This window comes from Homo sapiens, chromosome 4 (assembly GCF_000001405.40).
Source record: "Homo sapiens chromosome 4, GRCh38.p14 Primary Assembly".
In the NCBI taxonomy this organism is placed as follows: Eukaryota; Metazoa; Chordata; class Mammalia; order Primates; family Hominidae; genus Homo; species Homo sapiens.
In genome coordinates, this window is record NC_000004.12 from 68,599,158 (window position 1) to 68,616,703 (window position 17,546).

Genomic DNA, 17,546 nt, shown 5'->3' on the forward strand with positions numbered 1-17,546 from the left:
TCAATTCTGGTGCATGACAGATTGGTCTTACCGATTTTGTGGGAATTATTGATAATCACTACCCAAAAACAAAAATCTTCCATTTTTAAAAATTGACTACTTGGATTTTACCTAAAATTACCAGACATAAACTTTTAGAAAATGCTCTGACGGTGTTTACTGATGGTTCCAGCAATGGAAAAGTGGCTTACACAGGCCAAAAGAATGAGTCATTGAAACTCAATGTCACTCAGCTCAAAGAGCAGAGTTGGTTGCTGTTATTTCAGTGTTACAAGATTTTAATCAGCCTATTAACATTGTTTCAGATTCTGCATATGTAGTACAAGCTAAAAAGGATGTTGAGACAGCCCTAATCAAATATAGCATGGATGATCACTTAAACCAGCTGTTTAATTTATTACAACAAACTGTAAGAAAAAGAAATTTCCCATTTTATATTACTCATATTAGAGCACATACTAATTTACCAGGGCCTTTAAAGCAAATGAACAAGCTGACTCGCTAGTATCATCTGCATTCATAAAAGCACAAGAACTTCATGCTTTGACTCATGTAAATGCATCAGGACTAAAAAATAAATTTGATATCACATGGAAACAGGCAAAAAATATTGTACAACATTGCATTCAGTGTCAAGTCCTACACCTGCCCACTCAGGAGGAAGGACTTAATCCCAGAAGTCTAAGTCCTAATGCTTTATGGCAAATGGATGTCACATATGTACCTCATTTGGAAAATTGTCATTTGTCCATGTGACAGTTGATACTTATTCACATGTTGTATGGGAAACCTGCCAGAAAGGAGAAAGTACTTCCCATGTTAAAAGACATTTATTATCTTGTTTTGCTCTCATGGGAGTATCAGAAAAAATTAAAACGGATAATGGGCCAAGATACTGTAGTAAAGCATTTCAAAACTTCTTAAATCAGTGGAAAATTACACATAAAACAGGAATCCCTTATGATTCCCAAGGGCAGGCCATAATTGAAAGAACTAATAGAACACTCAAAGCTCAATTGGTTAAATAAAAAAAAGGAAAAAGAGAGTAGAAGTGTAACACTTCCCAGATGCAACTTAATCTATCTAGCACACTATACTTTAAATTTTTTAAACATTTATAGAAATCAGACCACTACTTCTGCAGAACAACATTTTACTGGTAAAAAGAACAGACCACATGAGGGAAAACTGAATTGGTGGAAAGACATGAAAAATAAGACATGGGAAATAGGTAAGATGATAACATGAGGGAGAGGTTTTGCTTGTGTTTCACCAGGAGAAAATCAGCTTCCTGTTTGGATACCCACAAGGCATTTAAAATTCTACAATGAACCCATCGGAGATGCAAAAAAAGTGCCTCCACAGAGACAGAAAACCTGCAATCGAGCATCATCTACTCGCCAGGTGAATAAAATGGTGATATCAGAAGAACAGAGGAAGTTGCCATCCACCAAGAAAGCGGAGCCACCGACCTGGGCCCAACTAAAAAAGCTGACACAGTTAGCTGAAAAAAGCCTGAAGAACACAAGGGTAACACAAACTCCAGAGAATATGCTGCTTGCAGCTTTAATGATTGTATCAACGGTGGTAAGTCTCCCTATGTCTGCAGGAGCAGCTGCAGCTAATTACACTTACTGGGCCTATGTGCCTTTCCCGCCCTTAATTCGGGCAGTCGTTTGGATAGATAATCCTATTGAAGTATATGCTAATAATAGTGCATGAGTGCCAGGCCCCACAGATGACCGTGGCCCTGCCCAACCTGAGGAAGAAGGAATGATGATAAACATTTCCATTGGGTATCATTTTCCTATTTGCCTGGGGAAGGCACCAGGATTCTTAATGCCTACAACCCAAAATTGATTGGTAGAAGTACCTACTGTCAGTGCCACCAGTAAATTTACTTATCACATGGTAAGTGGAATGTCACTTGGGTCACAAATAAATAATTTATAGCACTCTTCTTATTAAAGATCATTAAAATTTAGGCCTCAGGGAAAACCTTGCCCCAAGGAAATTCGCAAAGAATCAAAAGACCCAGAAGTCTTAGTTCAGGAAGAATGTGTGGCTGATACTGCGATGGTATTACAAAACAATAAATTTGGAACTATTATAGACTGGGCCCCTTGAGGCCAATTATATTATGATTGTACAGGCCAGACTCACTCATGTTCACAGGCCCCATCTGTCTGGCCCACTAATCTGGCCTATGATAGTGATTTAACTGAAAGGCTAGACCAGGTTTATAGAAGGTTAGAATCACCCTATCCATGGAAATGGGGTGAAAAGGGAATTTCATCACCTCGACCACAGTTAGTTACTCCTGTTACTGGTCCCGAACATCCAGAATTATGGAAGCTTACTGTGGCCTCACACCACATTAGAATTTGATCTGGAAATCAAGTTATGGGAACAAGAAATCATAAGCCATATTATACTATTAACTTAAATTCCTTTGCAAAGTTGTGGAAAACCCCCTTATATGCTAGTTGTAGGTAACATAGTTATTAAACCAGATTCCTAAACTATAACCTGTGAAAATTACAGATTGTTTACTTGCATTGATTCAACTTTTGATTGGCAGCACCGTATTCTGCTAGTGAGGGCAAGAGAGGGCGTGTGGATTCCTGTGTCCATGGACTGAACGTGGGAGGCTTCCCCATCTGTCCATATGTTAACAGAAGTATTAAAAGGAGTTCTAACTAGATCCAAACGATTCATTTTTACTTTGATTGCAATGATTATGGGCCTTATTGCAGTCGCAGCTACTGCTGTGGCTGCTGTAATTGCTTTACACTCCTGTCTTCAAACTGCAGAATATGTCAATAATTGGCAAAAGAATTCTTCAAAATTGTGGAATTCTCAGACCCAAATAGATAAAAAAATTGGCAAACCAAGTTAATGATCTTAGACAAACTGTCATTTGGATGGGAGATTGACTTGTGACTGGAATATGTCAGATTTTTGTATTAAACCTCGAGCCTGTAATGAATCTGAATATCACTGGGACACGGTTAGACACCATCTACAAGGAAGAGAAGATAATATTACCTTAGATATTTCAAAATTAAAAGAACAAATTTTTGAGGCATCAAAATCCCAGTTAAATCTGGTGCCAGAAACTGAGGAAATGGTGAAAGCTGCTGATAGCCTCACAAATCTTAACCCCGTCACTTGGGTTAAAACCATTGGAAGTTCCACTATTGCAAATTTTGTATTAATCCTTGTGGGTCTGTTCTCTCTGTTGTTAGTCTACAGGTGTATCCAGCAGTTCCAGAGAGACAGCGACCAGTGAGAATGGGCCATGATGACGATGGTGGTTTTGTCAAAAAGAAAAAGGGGATATGTAGGGAAAAGAAAGAGAGATCAGACTGTTACTGTGTCTATGTAGAAAGGGAAGGCATAAGAAATTCCATTTTGACCTGTACCTTGAACAATTGCTTTGCTGAGATGCTGGTAATTTGTAACTTTGCCCAGCCACTTTGCCCCAACTTCGAGCTCACAAAAACATGTGTTGTGTGGAATCAAGGTTTAAGGGATCTAGGGCTGTGCAGGATGTGCCTTGTTAACAAAATGTTTACAAGCAGTATGCTTGGTAAAAGTCATCGCCATTCTCTAGTCTTGATAAGCCAGGGGCACAATGCACTGCAGAAAGCGCAGGGACTTCTGCCGTGGAAAGCCATGTATTTTCCAAGGTTTCTCCCCATGTGATAGTCTGAAATATGGCCTCATGGGATGAGAGACCTGACTGTCCCCCAGCCCGACACCCATGAAGGGTCTGTGCTGAGGTGGATTAGTAAAAGAGGAACGCCTCTTGCAATTGAGATAGAGGAAGGCCACTGTCTCCTGCCTGCCCCTGGGAACTGAATGTCTTGGTATAAAACCCGATTGTACATTTGTTCAGTTCTGAGATAGGAGAAAAACCACCCTTTGGTGGGAGGTGAGACATGTTGGCAGCAATGCTGCCTTGTTATTCTTTACTCCACTGAGATGTTTGGGTGGAGAGAAATGTAAATCTGGCCTACGTGCACATCCAGGCATAGTACCTCCCCTTGAACTTAATTGTGACATAGATTCTTTTGCTCACATGTTTTTCTGTTGATCTTCTCCTTATTATCACCCTGCTCTCCTACTGTATTCCTCTTGCTGAGATAATGAAAATAATAATCAATAAAAACTGAGGGAACTCAGAGACTGGTGCCAGTGCAGGTCCTTGGTATGCTGAGCGCCAGTCCACTGGGCCCACTTTTCTTTCTCTATACTTTGTCTTTGTGTCTGATTTCTTTTCTCAGTCTCTCATCCCACCTGATGAGATATAACCACAGGTGTTGAGGTGCTGGCCACCCCTTCACACCTATGGATATATCTTGACAGGTGGGTCACACAAATTGGGAAAATTTGCAGTAGAAAAGAAAACCCCATTTTCTGGGCAGAAATTCAAGTTGTCTGCAGAAATTTATGTAAGTAATGAGAAGCCAAATTCTAATCATCAAGAAAATTGGGAAAATGTTTCTGGGGCATATCAGAGAACTTCACGGCAGACCCTCCCATCACAGGCCTGGAGTCCTAGGAAGGAAAATGGTTTCACAGGCCAGGCCTAGGGCCCCCCATGCTCTGGGCAGCTTCAGGACATGATGTCCTTCATCCAAGCTGTTTCAGCTCCAGCCATGGCTAAAAGGGGCCAAGGTATAGCTCAGGCCATTGCTTCAGAGGGTGCAAGCCCCAAGCCTTGGTAGCTTTTCTGGGGTGTTGAGCTTGCAGGTGTACAGAAGTCAAGAACTGAGTTTTGGGAACCTGTGCTTAGATTTCAGAGGATGTATGGAAATACCTAGATGTCCAGGCAGAAGTTTCCTGCATGGGCGGGACCCTCATGCAGAAACTCTGCTAGGGTAGTCAGAAGGGAAATGTGGGGTTGAAGTCCCAACCCAGTGTCGCCACTGGGGCACCACCTAGTAGAGCTGTGAGAAGAGGGCCACCATCCTCCAGACCCCAGAATGGTAGATTCACTGATAGCTTTCACTATGTGCCTAGAAAAGCTGAAGACACTCAATGCCAGCCTGTAAAGTAGCAGGGAGGGAGGCCCTACCCTGCAAAGTCACAAGTGTGAAGCTGCCCAAGACCATGGGAACCCACTACTTGCATTAGCGTGACCTGGATGTAAGACATTAAGTCAAAGGAGATAATTTTGGAGTTTTAATATTTGACTGCCCCTCTGGATTTTAGATTCACATGAGGCATGTAGCCCCTTTGTTTTTGTCAAGTTCTCCCATGTGGAATGGCTGAATTTACCCAATGCCTGTACTCCCATGTATTGAGGAAGAAACTAACTTGTTTTTGATTTTACAGGCTCATAGGTGGAAGGAACTTGCCTTGTGTCAGCTGAGACTTTGGACTGTGGACTTTTGAATTAATGCTGAAATGAATTAAGGCTTTGGGGGACTGTTGGAAAGGTATGCTTTGTTTTGAAATGTGAGGGCATGAGATTTGGAGAGGCTGAGGGCGGAATGATATGGTTTGTCTCCACCCAAATCTCACCTTGAATTGTAGCTCCCATAATTTCATGTGTTGTGGGAGGGACCTGGTGGGAGATAATTGAATCATGGGGGCAATTTTTTCCATACTATTCTTGTGGTAGTGAATGAGTCTCAATAGATCTGATTTTTTTTTTTTTTTTTTTTTTTGAGACGGAGTCTCACTCTGTCTCCCAAGCTGGAGGGCAATGGCACGATCTCGGTTTGCTGCAACTTCCACCTCCTGGGTTCAAGCCATTCTCCTGCCCCAGCTTCCTGAACAGCTGGGACTACAGGCACATGCTGGTACATCCAGCTAATTTTTTGTATTTTTTTTTTAGTAGAGATGGGGTTTTACCATATTGCCTGGGCTGGTCTCAAACTCCTGAACTCAGGCAATCCGCACACCTTTGTCTCCCAAAGTACTAGGATTACAGGTGTGAGCCACCACACCTGGCCTGATCTGATGATTTTATAAAGGAAACCCCTTTCATTTGGGTCTCAATGTTCTCTTGCCTGCCACCTTGTGATATGTGAATTTGCTCCTTCTTGCCTTCTGCCATGATTGTGAGGCTTCCCCAGCCATGTGGAACTGTGAGTCTGTTAAACCTCTTTCCTTTATAAATTACTCTGTATTGGATATGTCTTTATTGGCAGCACGAGAACAGACTAACACAGTAACAAATGAGAAATTTATAATATTGTTGTCTGCTATACCACTTTTCAATTTGTTGAAGGTGGAGATTTTTAAGCAGTAGGAAATCCTTAGATGGTTATTACAAAATAGGATGATTATAATGAAAATTAATGTGCTTAAAATAAAGGTTTTAATACAATATCATCAGAAGTTGGGAGAATTAATGGAACCCCTAGAAAGTTCCCGAACCCTCAGACTTCCAAGCCAATCTGCTCCATTTATCACAGTTTGGAGTAGTTTACAAAGCACAAATGCAGAAATCACAATGTGAAAATTTATTAACGCTTTCCTCAGATAATATTGAGATATTAATCAAGATAAAAGTTTGCAAAAAGGCAAGCGTCTCTTGGCTCAATCACCTTGTACAGACACAAAACACATTAAGTCCTAATAGAGCCTAAGTAAAGGTTAATGAAATGAAGATAAAAGGTTATAGAAAAGTTGGTATATATCCACAAGCTTTATGTGAAGTAGTTACATCTCTTTTATCTGACAGTATTATTAGAATGGACATTGTATCTAACTGGGAAATGTTTCCCACATCTAGTATTATACAATGGAAGGCATCCAAATTTGTCTTTAAATCATTATGAATTGGGCATTCTAAATAGAAGCCAGTAAGATATTCCATCCAAGTTCATACAGTGTAGAATAGAAGCTGGAGTGCTGATAGAAAAAAATTCTCTGTTCGATAGCCCTATATCAAGCATAACTTATAGTAATATGCTGTGAGTATCTCCCAGTGATAAATACTGGGATTTGGGAAAGGAGAATTTCCACTTGAGTGGCATTTACTACCTTGCTGTAGTACATTAATTGAAGCTATCCATAACAGTTCATCAAATAACCTTGAAACATGAAATACCCATGATGTCTTGCATAATGTAAATGAAACACTCCAGTCATATAGCAGTACCCAGAAGAGTTTTGTACTACAATGGAAATTGTCTATATAGAATCAAACTGCGTCATGAATGCCTGAAGGAGATATTCTTAAGCTCAGAACCCCTTTCCTCCTAGGACTGATTCTGAAACTGTGTGAGGAGTTGCCTAATTCCACAGTGCTCTATAAATAGCTCACAACTGACTGACAAAGATCTGCTAGGCTTGTAGATGGCACTTACAGGGTGAATGAACAAACTACTGCCATATTGATTCTTTTTTTCTAGTTCTTATGTAAATCCTTTTTAAAAAAAGGGTTTTTTTTTTTTTTTTTTTTTTTTTTTGGAATGGTCTCACTCTGTTGGCCAGGCTGAAGAGCATACAATTACAGTTTACTGCAGCCTCAGCCTCAAACTCCCAGGCTCAGATGATTCACCAACTTCAGTCCCCCAAGTAGCTGGGACTACAGGCATACATGGCCATGCCTGACATTTTTAAAAAGCTTTATTTGTAGGTATAGGGTCTCACTATAATGCCCTGGCTGGTGTTGAACTCCTAGGCTTAAGTCCTTCTCTCACCTTAGCCTCCTAGAATGCCAAGATTATAGGTGTGAGCTGCTGCTGTATCTGGTCTGTAAATCCTTTTTTCTGTCTTCATCATTTATTGGCTTCCTTGGAATTAAGGGATTATCTTGTTGTATGTTTTTATTTCTTCCTTTTTATTTTTAGGGTATTTATTATAGGTGTTCTGTGCTTATCATAAGGCTTACATGAAAACACCTTCTTTTTTATTATACTTTAAGTTCTAGGGTACATGTGCACAACATACAGGTTTGATACATAGGTGTACATGGGCCATGTTGGCTTGCTGCCCCCATCAACTCATCACTTACATTAGGAATTTCTCCTAATGTTATATCCCTCCTCCAGCCACCCACCCCCAACAGGCCCCAGTGTGTGGTCCTCTGCCCTGTGTCCAAGTGATCTCATTGTTCAATTCCCACCTATGAGTGAGAACATGCATTGTTTGGTTTTCTGTCCTTGTGACAGTTTGCTGAGAATGATGGTTTCCAGCTTCATCCATGTCCCTGCAAAGGATATGAACTCATCATTTTTTATGGCTGCATAATATTCCATGCTGTATATGTGCCACATTTTCTTAATCCAGTCTATCATTGATGGACATTTGGGTTGGTTCCAAGTCTTTGCTATTGTGAATAGTGCTGCAGTAAACATACGTGTGCATGTGTCTTTATAGTAGCATGATTTAAAATCCTTTGGATATGTACCCAGTAAAGGGATCGCTGGGTCAAATGGTATTTCTAGTTCTAGATCCTTGAGGAATCGCCACACAGTGCTCCACAAAGGTTGAACTAATTTACACTCCCACCAACAGTGTAAAAGCGTTCCTATTTTTCCACACCCTCTCCAGCATCTGTTGTTTCTTGTCTTTTTAATGATTGCCGTTCTAACTGGTGTGAGATGGTATCTTATTGTGGTTTTGGTTTGCATTTCTCTGATGACCAGTGATGATGATCATTTTTTCGTGTATCTGTTGGCTGCATAGATGTCTTCTTTTGAGAATTGTCTGTTCGTATCCTTCACCCACTTTTTGATGGGGTTGCTTGTTTTTTTCTTGTAAATTTGTTTGAGTTCTTTGTAGATTCTGGATATTAGCCCTATGTCAGATGCGTAGATTGCAAAATTTTTCTCCCATTCTGTAGGTTGCCTATTCACTCTGATGGTAGTTTCTTTTGTCATGCGCAAAAGCTTTTTGTTTAATTTGATCCCATTTGTCAATTTTGGCTTTTGTTGCCATTGCTTTTTGTGTTTTAGTCATGAAGTCCTTGCTCATGCCTACATCCTGAATGGTATTGCCTAGGTTTTCTTAAAGGGTTTTTATGGTTTTAGGTCTAACATTTAAGTCTTTAATCCATCTTGAATTAATTTATGTGAAAAGTGTAAGGAAGGGATCCAGTTTCAGCTTTCTACATATGTCTAGCCAATTTTCGCACCACCATTTATTAAATAGGGAATCCTTTCCCCATTGCTTGTTTTTGTCAGGTTTGTCAAAAATCAGATGGTTGTAGATGTGTCGTGTTATTTCTGATGTCTCTGTTGTGTTCCATTGGTCTACATCTCTGCTTTGGTATCAGTACTATGCTATTTTGGTTACTGTAGCCTTATAGTATAGTTTGAAGTCAGGTAGCAAGATGCCTCCAGCTTTGTTATTTTTGCTTAGGATTGTCTTGGCTGTGTGGGCTCTTTTTTGGTTCTATATGAATTTTAAAATAGTTTTTTTCCAATTCTGTGAAGAAAGTCATTGGTAGCTTGATGGGAATACCATCAAATCTATAAATTACCTTGGGCAGCATGGCCATTTTCATGATATTTATTCTTTCTATCCATGAGCATGGAATGTTCTTCCATTTGTTTGTATCCTCTTTTATTTCATTGAGCAGTGGTTTGTAGTTCTCCTTGAAGAGGTCCTTCACATCCCTTGTAAGTTGGATTCCTAGGTATTTTATTCTCTTAGCAGCAATTGTGAATGGGAGTTCACTCATGATTTGGCTCTCTGTTGGTCTGTTATTGATGTTTAAAAATGCTTGTGATTTTTGCACGTCCATTTTGTATCCTGAAACTTTGCTGAAGTTGCTTATCAGCTTAAGGAGATTTTGGGCTGAAAAGATGGGTTTTTCTAAATATAAAATCATGCCATCTGCAAACAGAGACAATTTGACTTCCTCTTTTCCTAATTGAATACTCTTTATTTCTTTCTCTTGCCTGATCACCCTGGCCAGAACTTCCAACACTATGCTGAATAGGAGTGGTGAGAGAGGGCATTCCTATCTTGTGCTGGTTTTCAGAGGGAATTCTTCCAGTTTTTGCCCATTCAGTATGATATTGGCTGTGGGTTTGTCATAAATAGCTCTTAGTATTTTGAGATACGTTCCATCAATACCTCGTTTATTGAGAGTTTTAGCATGAAGAGTTGTTGAATTTCATTGAAGGTCTTTTCTGCATTTATTGAGATAATCAAGTGGTTTTTCATTGGTTCTGTTTATGTTATGGATTATATTTATTTATTTGCATATGTTGGACCAGCCTTGCCTCCCAGCTGACTTAATCATGGTGGATAAGCTTTTTGATGTGCTGCTGGATTCGGTTTGCCAGTATTTTATTGAGGATGTTCGCATTGATGTTCTTCAGGGATATTGGTCTAAAACTCTGTTTTTTTGTTGTGACTCTGCCAGGCTTTGGTATCAGGATGATGTTGGCCTCATAAAATTAGTTAGGGAGGATTCCCTCCTTTTCTATTGATTGGAATAGTTTTAGAAGGAATGGTACCAGCTCCTCTTTGTATCTCTGGTGAAATTCAGCTGTGAATCCATCTGGTCCTGGACTTTTTTTCATTGGTAGCCTATTAATTATTGCCTCAATTTCAGAGTCTGTTTCTGGTCTATGCAGAGATTCAACTTCTTCCTGGTTTAGTCTTGGGAGGGTGTATGTGTCCAGGAATTTATCCATTTCTTCTAGATTTTCTAGTTTATTTGCGTAGAGGTATTTATAGTATTCTCTGTTGGTAGTTTGTATATCTGTGGGATCAGTGGAGGTATCCCCTTTATCATTTTCTATTGAGTCTATTTGATTCTTCTCTCTTTTCTTTTTTATTATTCTTGCTAGTGGTCTATCAATTTTGTCGATCATTTCAAGAAGCCAGCTCCTGGATTCATTGATTTTTTGGAGGTTTTTTTTTGTCTCTATCTCTTTCAGTTCTGCCCTGATCATAGTTATTTCTTGCCTTCTGCTAGCTTTTGAATTTGTTTGCTCTTGCTTCTCTAGTTCTTTTAATTGTGATGTTAGGGTGTCAATTTTAGATATTTCCTGCTTTCTTTTGTGGGCATTTAGTGCCATAAATTTCCCTCTACACACTGCTTTAAATGTGTCCTAGAGATTCTGGTACATTATGTCTTTGTTCTCATTGGCTTCAAAGACATATTTATTTCTGCCTTCGTTTCCTTATTTGCCCAGTAGTCATGCAGGAGCAGGTTGTTCAGTTTCCATGTAGTTGTGCAGTTTTGAGTGAGTTTCTTAATTCTGAGTTCTAATTTGATTGCACTGTGGTCTGAGAGACAGTTTGTTGTGATTTCTGTTCTTTTACATTTGCTGAGGAGTGCTTTACTTCCAATTATGTGGTCAATTTTAGAATAAGTGGGATGTGGTGCTGAGAAGAATGTATATTCTGTTGATTTGGGGTTGAAAGTTTTGTAAATGTCTATTAGGTCTTAAACTTAAAGTATAATTTAAAAAAAGAAAGTAAAAAGATGATAATCCACTTCATGAAAACACACAAAATTATATAACTCACTCATAGAGCCAACAGACAAAGGAGAAAGAAAAAAGAATCAAACTTTATCAGTATAGAAAACTACCAAACTGTCAAAAATAAGTAATAAGAGAGAAATTAAGGAATAAGGGTTATACAAAATAAACAGAAAAAATAAAAGAATAAGCCTTTACCTATAAATACATAAATAAATACCTTGAAAATAGGTGGATTAAATTATACAACTCAAAACATAGACTAATGGATTAAAAAACAAGACCCAACTATATACAGCCTAAAAGAAACTCATCTCACCTATAAAGTTACACATAGACTGCAATTGAAAAGATGAAATAGATATGCTATGCAAACAGAAACCCAAATCAAGCAGAAATAGCTTCACTTACATAAGCAAAACACAAACTTTAAGCCAAAACTTTAAGGAGAGGAAAAGAGAGACTTAATATGATAATAAATGAATCAATTGTTCAAAAAGACAAAAATGTAAATATATATGCAAACAACCATGAACCATTGAGATATATGAAGCAAATATTATTATACCTGAAAGGAGAGATGGACCTAAGTTCAATAATATTTGAGGATGTCACCACCACCTTTTCAGCATTGGACAGATATTTAGACAAAAAATCAATAGAAACACATGAGATTTATACTGTACCATAGACCAAATCGAAGTAATTGACATTTACAGAACATTTTATCCAACAGCTGCAGAATATAAGATTCTTTTTATAGCACATATAACATCCCCAGAATTAACCATATATGAGGACATTAAGCAAGTCTCAACAAATTTTAAAAAATAAAAATTTTACTAATTATTTTATCTGAACACAATGAAATAAAGTATAAAATCAATGACAAGACAAAACTAGAAAAATCCATGAAAATTTAACAACGTATTCCTTATAACCAATAGGTAAAAAAAGAAACAATTTTAAAATTACTTAAAACAAGAAAAATTACATCATGCGATAGCAAAATGTATGAGATTCAACAGAAGCACTATTAAGAGACAAGTTTAGAACAAGAAATGCCTACATGAAAGAAGTAGAAAAGTTTCAAATAAACAACCTAATGATCTCTCTCAAAGAACTCTAAAAATAGGAACAAACCAAAACCAAAATTAGTGTAAGTAAAGAAATACTAAAAATTAGAGAGAAAAAATGAAATTAAGACTAAAAAAGATGAAACAAAATGCTAACTTTTTTAAAAGACAAAATCAGCAAGGCATTGACTAGACTAATAAAGAAAAACAAGAAAATATCCAATTTAATAAAATCAAAAACAGAACAGGAAACTTCACAACTGATACAGAAATACAGCACATCATTAAAGATTGTAATCAGCAACTACACAACAAATTTGAAAACCTGGAAGAAATGGATACATTTCTTGACATATACATTAGACTAAGATAAAAACAACAAAAAATATAAATCTTGCACAGACTAATACTGAATAACAACATTAAATCAGTAACAAAAAGCCCTCCAATAAATAAAAGTCCAGGACTACCTGGAGTCACAACTGTATTCTACCAACTTTAAATTATTATGCTAACTACAGAAACCAGTTACAAAAAACACATCTTGTGTGATTCCATTTATATGAAGCCCTCAAAATTGGAAAATGTATAGAGACAGAAAGTAGATTAGAGGTTGTCCAGGGTTGAGGGATAAGGAGATGCTAAGGATACGAGGTTAGTTAAGGATGATGAAATAATGTAAAATTGAACATCACGATAGTCACACAAATTCTGTGAAAATACAATGAGCCACTGAATTGTCTTGGCTTTAAATTAGTAAACTGTATTATATGTCAAATATATGTCAACAAAACTTTTACAAAACAAATAAACAAACATCCCTTGGACCATGATATCTAAGAAAGTCTGATTCAGCTGTGTAAGTACTTTAGGCCTACGCCAAGCAGACTGCAGACACAAAGCACCTCTTGCTATCCACTGTTCATAACATGATTCTAAACTTTCTTATATCACATAGGTGATTTGTATTTGCAAGATAATCAGAACTTAAATGGGGAAAAGCATTTGTAATTGTTAAAAGAGATATTAAACACATCATATAACACAAGGTCATCTAGATTTCACTTTTTCCACTTGCCATGAAGATACTCTGACCATTCAAATAATGTACTTACATTGATATGTAGTAGTTATATTTTAAATTCTTGACAATCTCTTCTTTAATATAAGCAAGATAAATGGTACAGGGATAAAATTTGAAAGGAAGTACCGCATTTAATCAGGATGTCTATGAAATGAATTTCAGCTCTACTATAGCTACTGCTGAGTTTTTTCCTCAACTCTGGAAGTCGTGAAAAGGTGCTGATGTAGCTATGGAATACAGTCATTGGATCGATTTAGAGGCAAAACTGGATGAACTTATCCAGATGAATCATGAGATCATTGTGAGACCATCGGCTTCCATTTTTCTTGATCTCAGCAAACCATTTGCTATTACCTTGGAATTTAATTCTATATCTTTATTGAAAGAAAACTTAAAGGATTATTGTCTCAGTTAATAAATATAATTGGTGGAAAGATATATTTTAGACATTTATTTCATTCATCAAAAAATATTTTGCAAATATTTTGTTTATTTTAAAAGCTCTGTCAGATGTTGTTTTACAAATAGAAAAGTATCGCAGGCTTATGGATTGGAAAAATAAATATTGTGAAAATGACCATACTGCCCAAAGCAATCTACAGATTCAATGCAATTTCTATTGAATTATCAATGTCATTTATAAGATAATTATAAAATATAATTCTAAAGTTTATATGGAACCAAAAAAAGAACCCAGATTACAAAGGAAATCCTGAGCAAAAGGAACAAAGCTGATGGCATAACATTACCTATCTTCAACATATACTACAAAACTGTAGTAACCAAAACAGCAAAGTACTGGTATAAAAGTAGACACATAGACCAACAGAACAGAATAGAGAACCCAGAAATAAAGCCAAATACTTAAAACCAACTGTTCAACAAAGCAGACACAAACATGCACAAAGGAAAGGACACTCTATTCAAAAAATTGTGATAGAAAAAAAGGAGAGCCACATGCAGAAGCGTGAAACTGGATGACTATCTCTCATCATATGCAAAAATTAACTGAAGGTGGATTAAAGACTTAAATGCAGAAGAAAATATAAGAAATACTCTTTTGGACATTGACCTACACAAAGAATTTATGACTAAAGACACAAAAAGAAAAGCAACAAAACCAAAATAAAGAAATGGGACTTTAAAAAGCTTCTGCACAGCAAAAGAAATAATCAATAGAGTAAACAGACAACGTACAGAATGGGAGAAAATATTTACAAACTCTATATCTGACAGAGGATTACTAATCAGAATCAACAAGTAACTCAAACAAATCAGCAAGAAGAAACAATCTTATAAAAAATGGGCAAATGACATGAATAGACATTTCTCAAAAGAAGATATACAAATGGTCAGCAAATATGGAAAAAAGCTGAACATCAGTAACCATCAGGGAAATGCAAATTAAAACCACAATGAGATATCACCTGACTAATGGTATACTCTTATCAGAATGATTGTATTTTAAAAGTCAAAAAAAGTAGATATTGGCGCAGATGTGGTGAAATGGGAACATTTAAACACTGTTGGTGGGAACATAAACTAGTACAACCTCTGTGAAAAACTGCATGGAGATTTCTCAAATAACTAAAAGTAGGTAAAATATTTGATCCAGTAATCTTACTACCAGTTACCTACACAAAGGAAAGGAAGTCATTATATTAAAAAGACATCTGCACTCATATGTTTATTGCAACAAACTTCACAATTCCAAAGATATGGAATCAACCTAAGTGCCCATCGACAGATGAGTGAATAAAGAAAATGTGATCTATATATCACATGGATATACACGGCCACATCTCACAGGAAAAATTCCAGATCATCCATGGGAACTTCCCCTTACCTCAGCGCCTTTGGGGACTTTGACCAAAACTAGGAAGGCTGCATCAGTAGGGAAAAGATGCTTTCCTTTTCCTGTGCTTCAGCTCCTTGCTGGGAGTCTACATGGGTTTTGTACACAGTTTCCAGGAGGGCAACTCCTAGAGTGCAGTAGCCTGCTGCCACTGCGAAGCCCTGATCCTGGGCATCTATAAGCAGGGCCTCAACTGCCAAGCCAGTGGTATGAGCTGCCACCAGCAGTGCAAGGATTGCCTGTAAGTTGAGCACCAGTGCAGGCCCCAGAGTGTGGGCCTGGAGGAGTCTCCACGTCACCCTCACACACTCATACCCACCATCATCCCACCTTCAGCTTCTCCCTGCCCTGCCATGGCAAACGAGACTCCCAGCCTCCAGAGATTCATGAGGAGGAGATGCAGATGGTGAAGGATGGGGTGTTTGACAACTGCTTGTAATTGATGCTATGATTGGATCAAGGACTCATTCCTGCCTTGGAGAAAAGACTTGAACCAGAGCAGGGAGCCTGGGGGTGCTGGGACAGAAGGTTGGGGCTGAGGGCAGAATGTGATGGTGGCATGCAGCTAAGGGCAGGGCCAGGGCAGGCGTCCCTAAGGTTGTACCAACTTTTGTGAATATTTGTATTTTCCTCATGGAATAAAAAGGCTCATGTAATTAATCTCCATATATATATACATTTATATATGTGTATATATACATTTATATATATATAAATGTATACACACACACACACACACACACAGAAAGAGAGTAGTATATACATACACAGCATACATGCATATATATTCCCTTTTTTCTGGGAGTTTTTCCACTCATTTCCATTCACCAAAGCAATGCCTTTGTGCCATGTACGTGAAGAAATATTCGTCTGCTCTAGCAAAGACCTCATCTGGCACAGAAGCTGTCAGGGAAACAACTACTTGGTTGAATTTGCAGGAGGGAAAAGGGGAGACTTCTTTGAGATCCCTGGTTTTTTTAATGAAGACTTTATATGGCTTACCCTGTGAGAAATGTTAAATTTCTGGACAATCCTTGGCTAACCAGATCTGTATATTAGTACGTTCCAAGTTGTTCAGCAGAACAGCAGACAAATTACTTTTATTTTTAATTTCAATACTCTTTGCTTTAGAAACAATTTTGCTGTGGCACTTCCTAGTCTGTGACTCTGTCTTGAAAAGGGCTGGAACTCAGGCTGCGTAGACATACATATTTCATTTATCTGGTCTTCAACTTAAACATTCACCTCTTTATAAAAACTTCTCTGTAATTCTGAAGGTAATTCCCCTTTTTTTGATGGAGTTCAAAAATTGCTGACTTGCACTGTTGGGAAATCATCACTGACTGTGATTTCATTTTCCATACTTTCATATTTACATCCACCTGCTTTTTCTGTTCAGTGGGAGACAAGCAGTTGGAGCCAACCTTCTGAGCTTCTTCAAAAAGGCTATCAACAAAATATTCACAATTTGTTGATTATCACTGAGAGATTGATTGTCAGATACTGTTTCACAAACCCATCTTCTTTTATACTTTCGAGATTATCTACCTCTTTCATTCTCTTTTGTCTTATTCTGGGCAGGGTCTCCTGGCCTCAGCCTCACTCAGCTCAGAGGCCACGAGCACCCTTTGGCCCCGGGCTCCGTCTGGAGCCCGCTGCTCCAGACCTCCTTAGGTTCCGCCGCGGCACAGCTAGGATCCTGACGGACTCTCTAGGTCTCTGCCAGGCACCAGACACCAAAAGCATGCTGATGTAGTCTCAATTGATTTGTTTTTAAATTGGTAATTAAACCTCCACCTTTATTGAAAGATCATTTGGAAGATTTTGTTCTCATACTCGGTCAGTTAATAAACATATGATTTGTCAAAAGATAGATTTTAGAAACATTTTATGAATTCAAAAAATTTGAGGGAAATATTTGGGTTGTTTTAGAAGCTCTGTCAAGATGTAGTTTTAATCAAGAAACTTATGTCAAAAGTTTAAGAATCAAGCCTTAATATTATTCTTGCAGATGTCCTTGGTAAAATCTGCTGGTGGGGATAATTAAAATACACATTGTATATACTTTGTATTTCCTTTTTGGCCTTTTTTTTTTTTTTAATGGAGTCTAACTGTCACCCAGG

The 17,546-nt window shown here is 37.8% G+C and overlaps 2 pseudogenes; one reads left to right on the forward strand and one right to left on the reverse strand.

Moving 5' to 3' along the window:
* LOC100422402 (RAS guanyl releasing protein 2 (calcium and DAG-regulated) pseudogene) lies at positions 15,363 to 16,048 on the forward strand (annotated as a pseudogene).
* LOC100132651 (UBX domain protein 2A pseudogene) lies at positions 16,356 to 17,154 on the reverse strand (annotated as a pseudogene).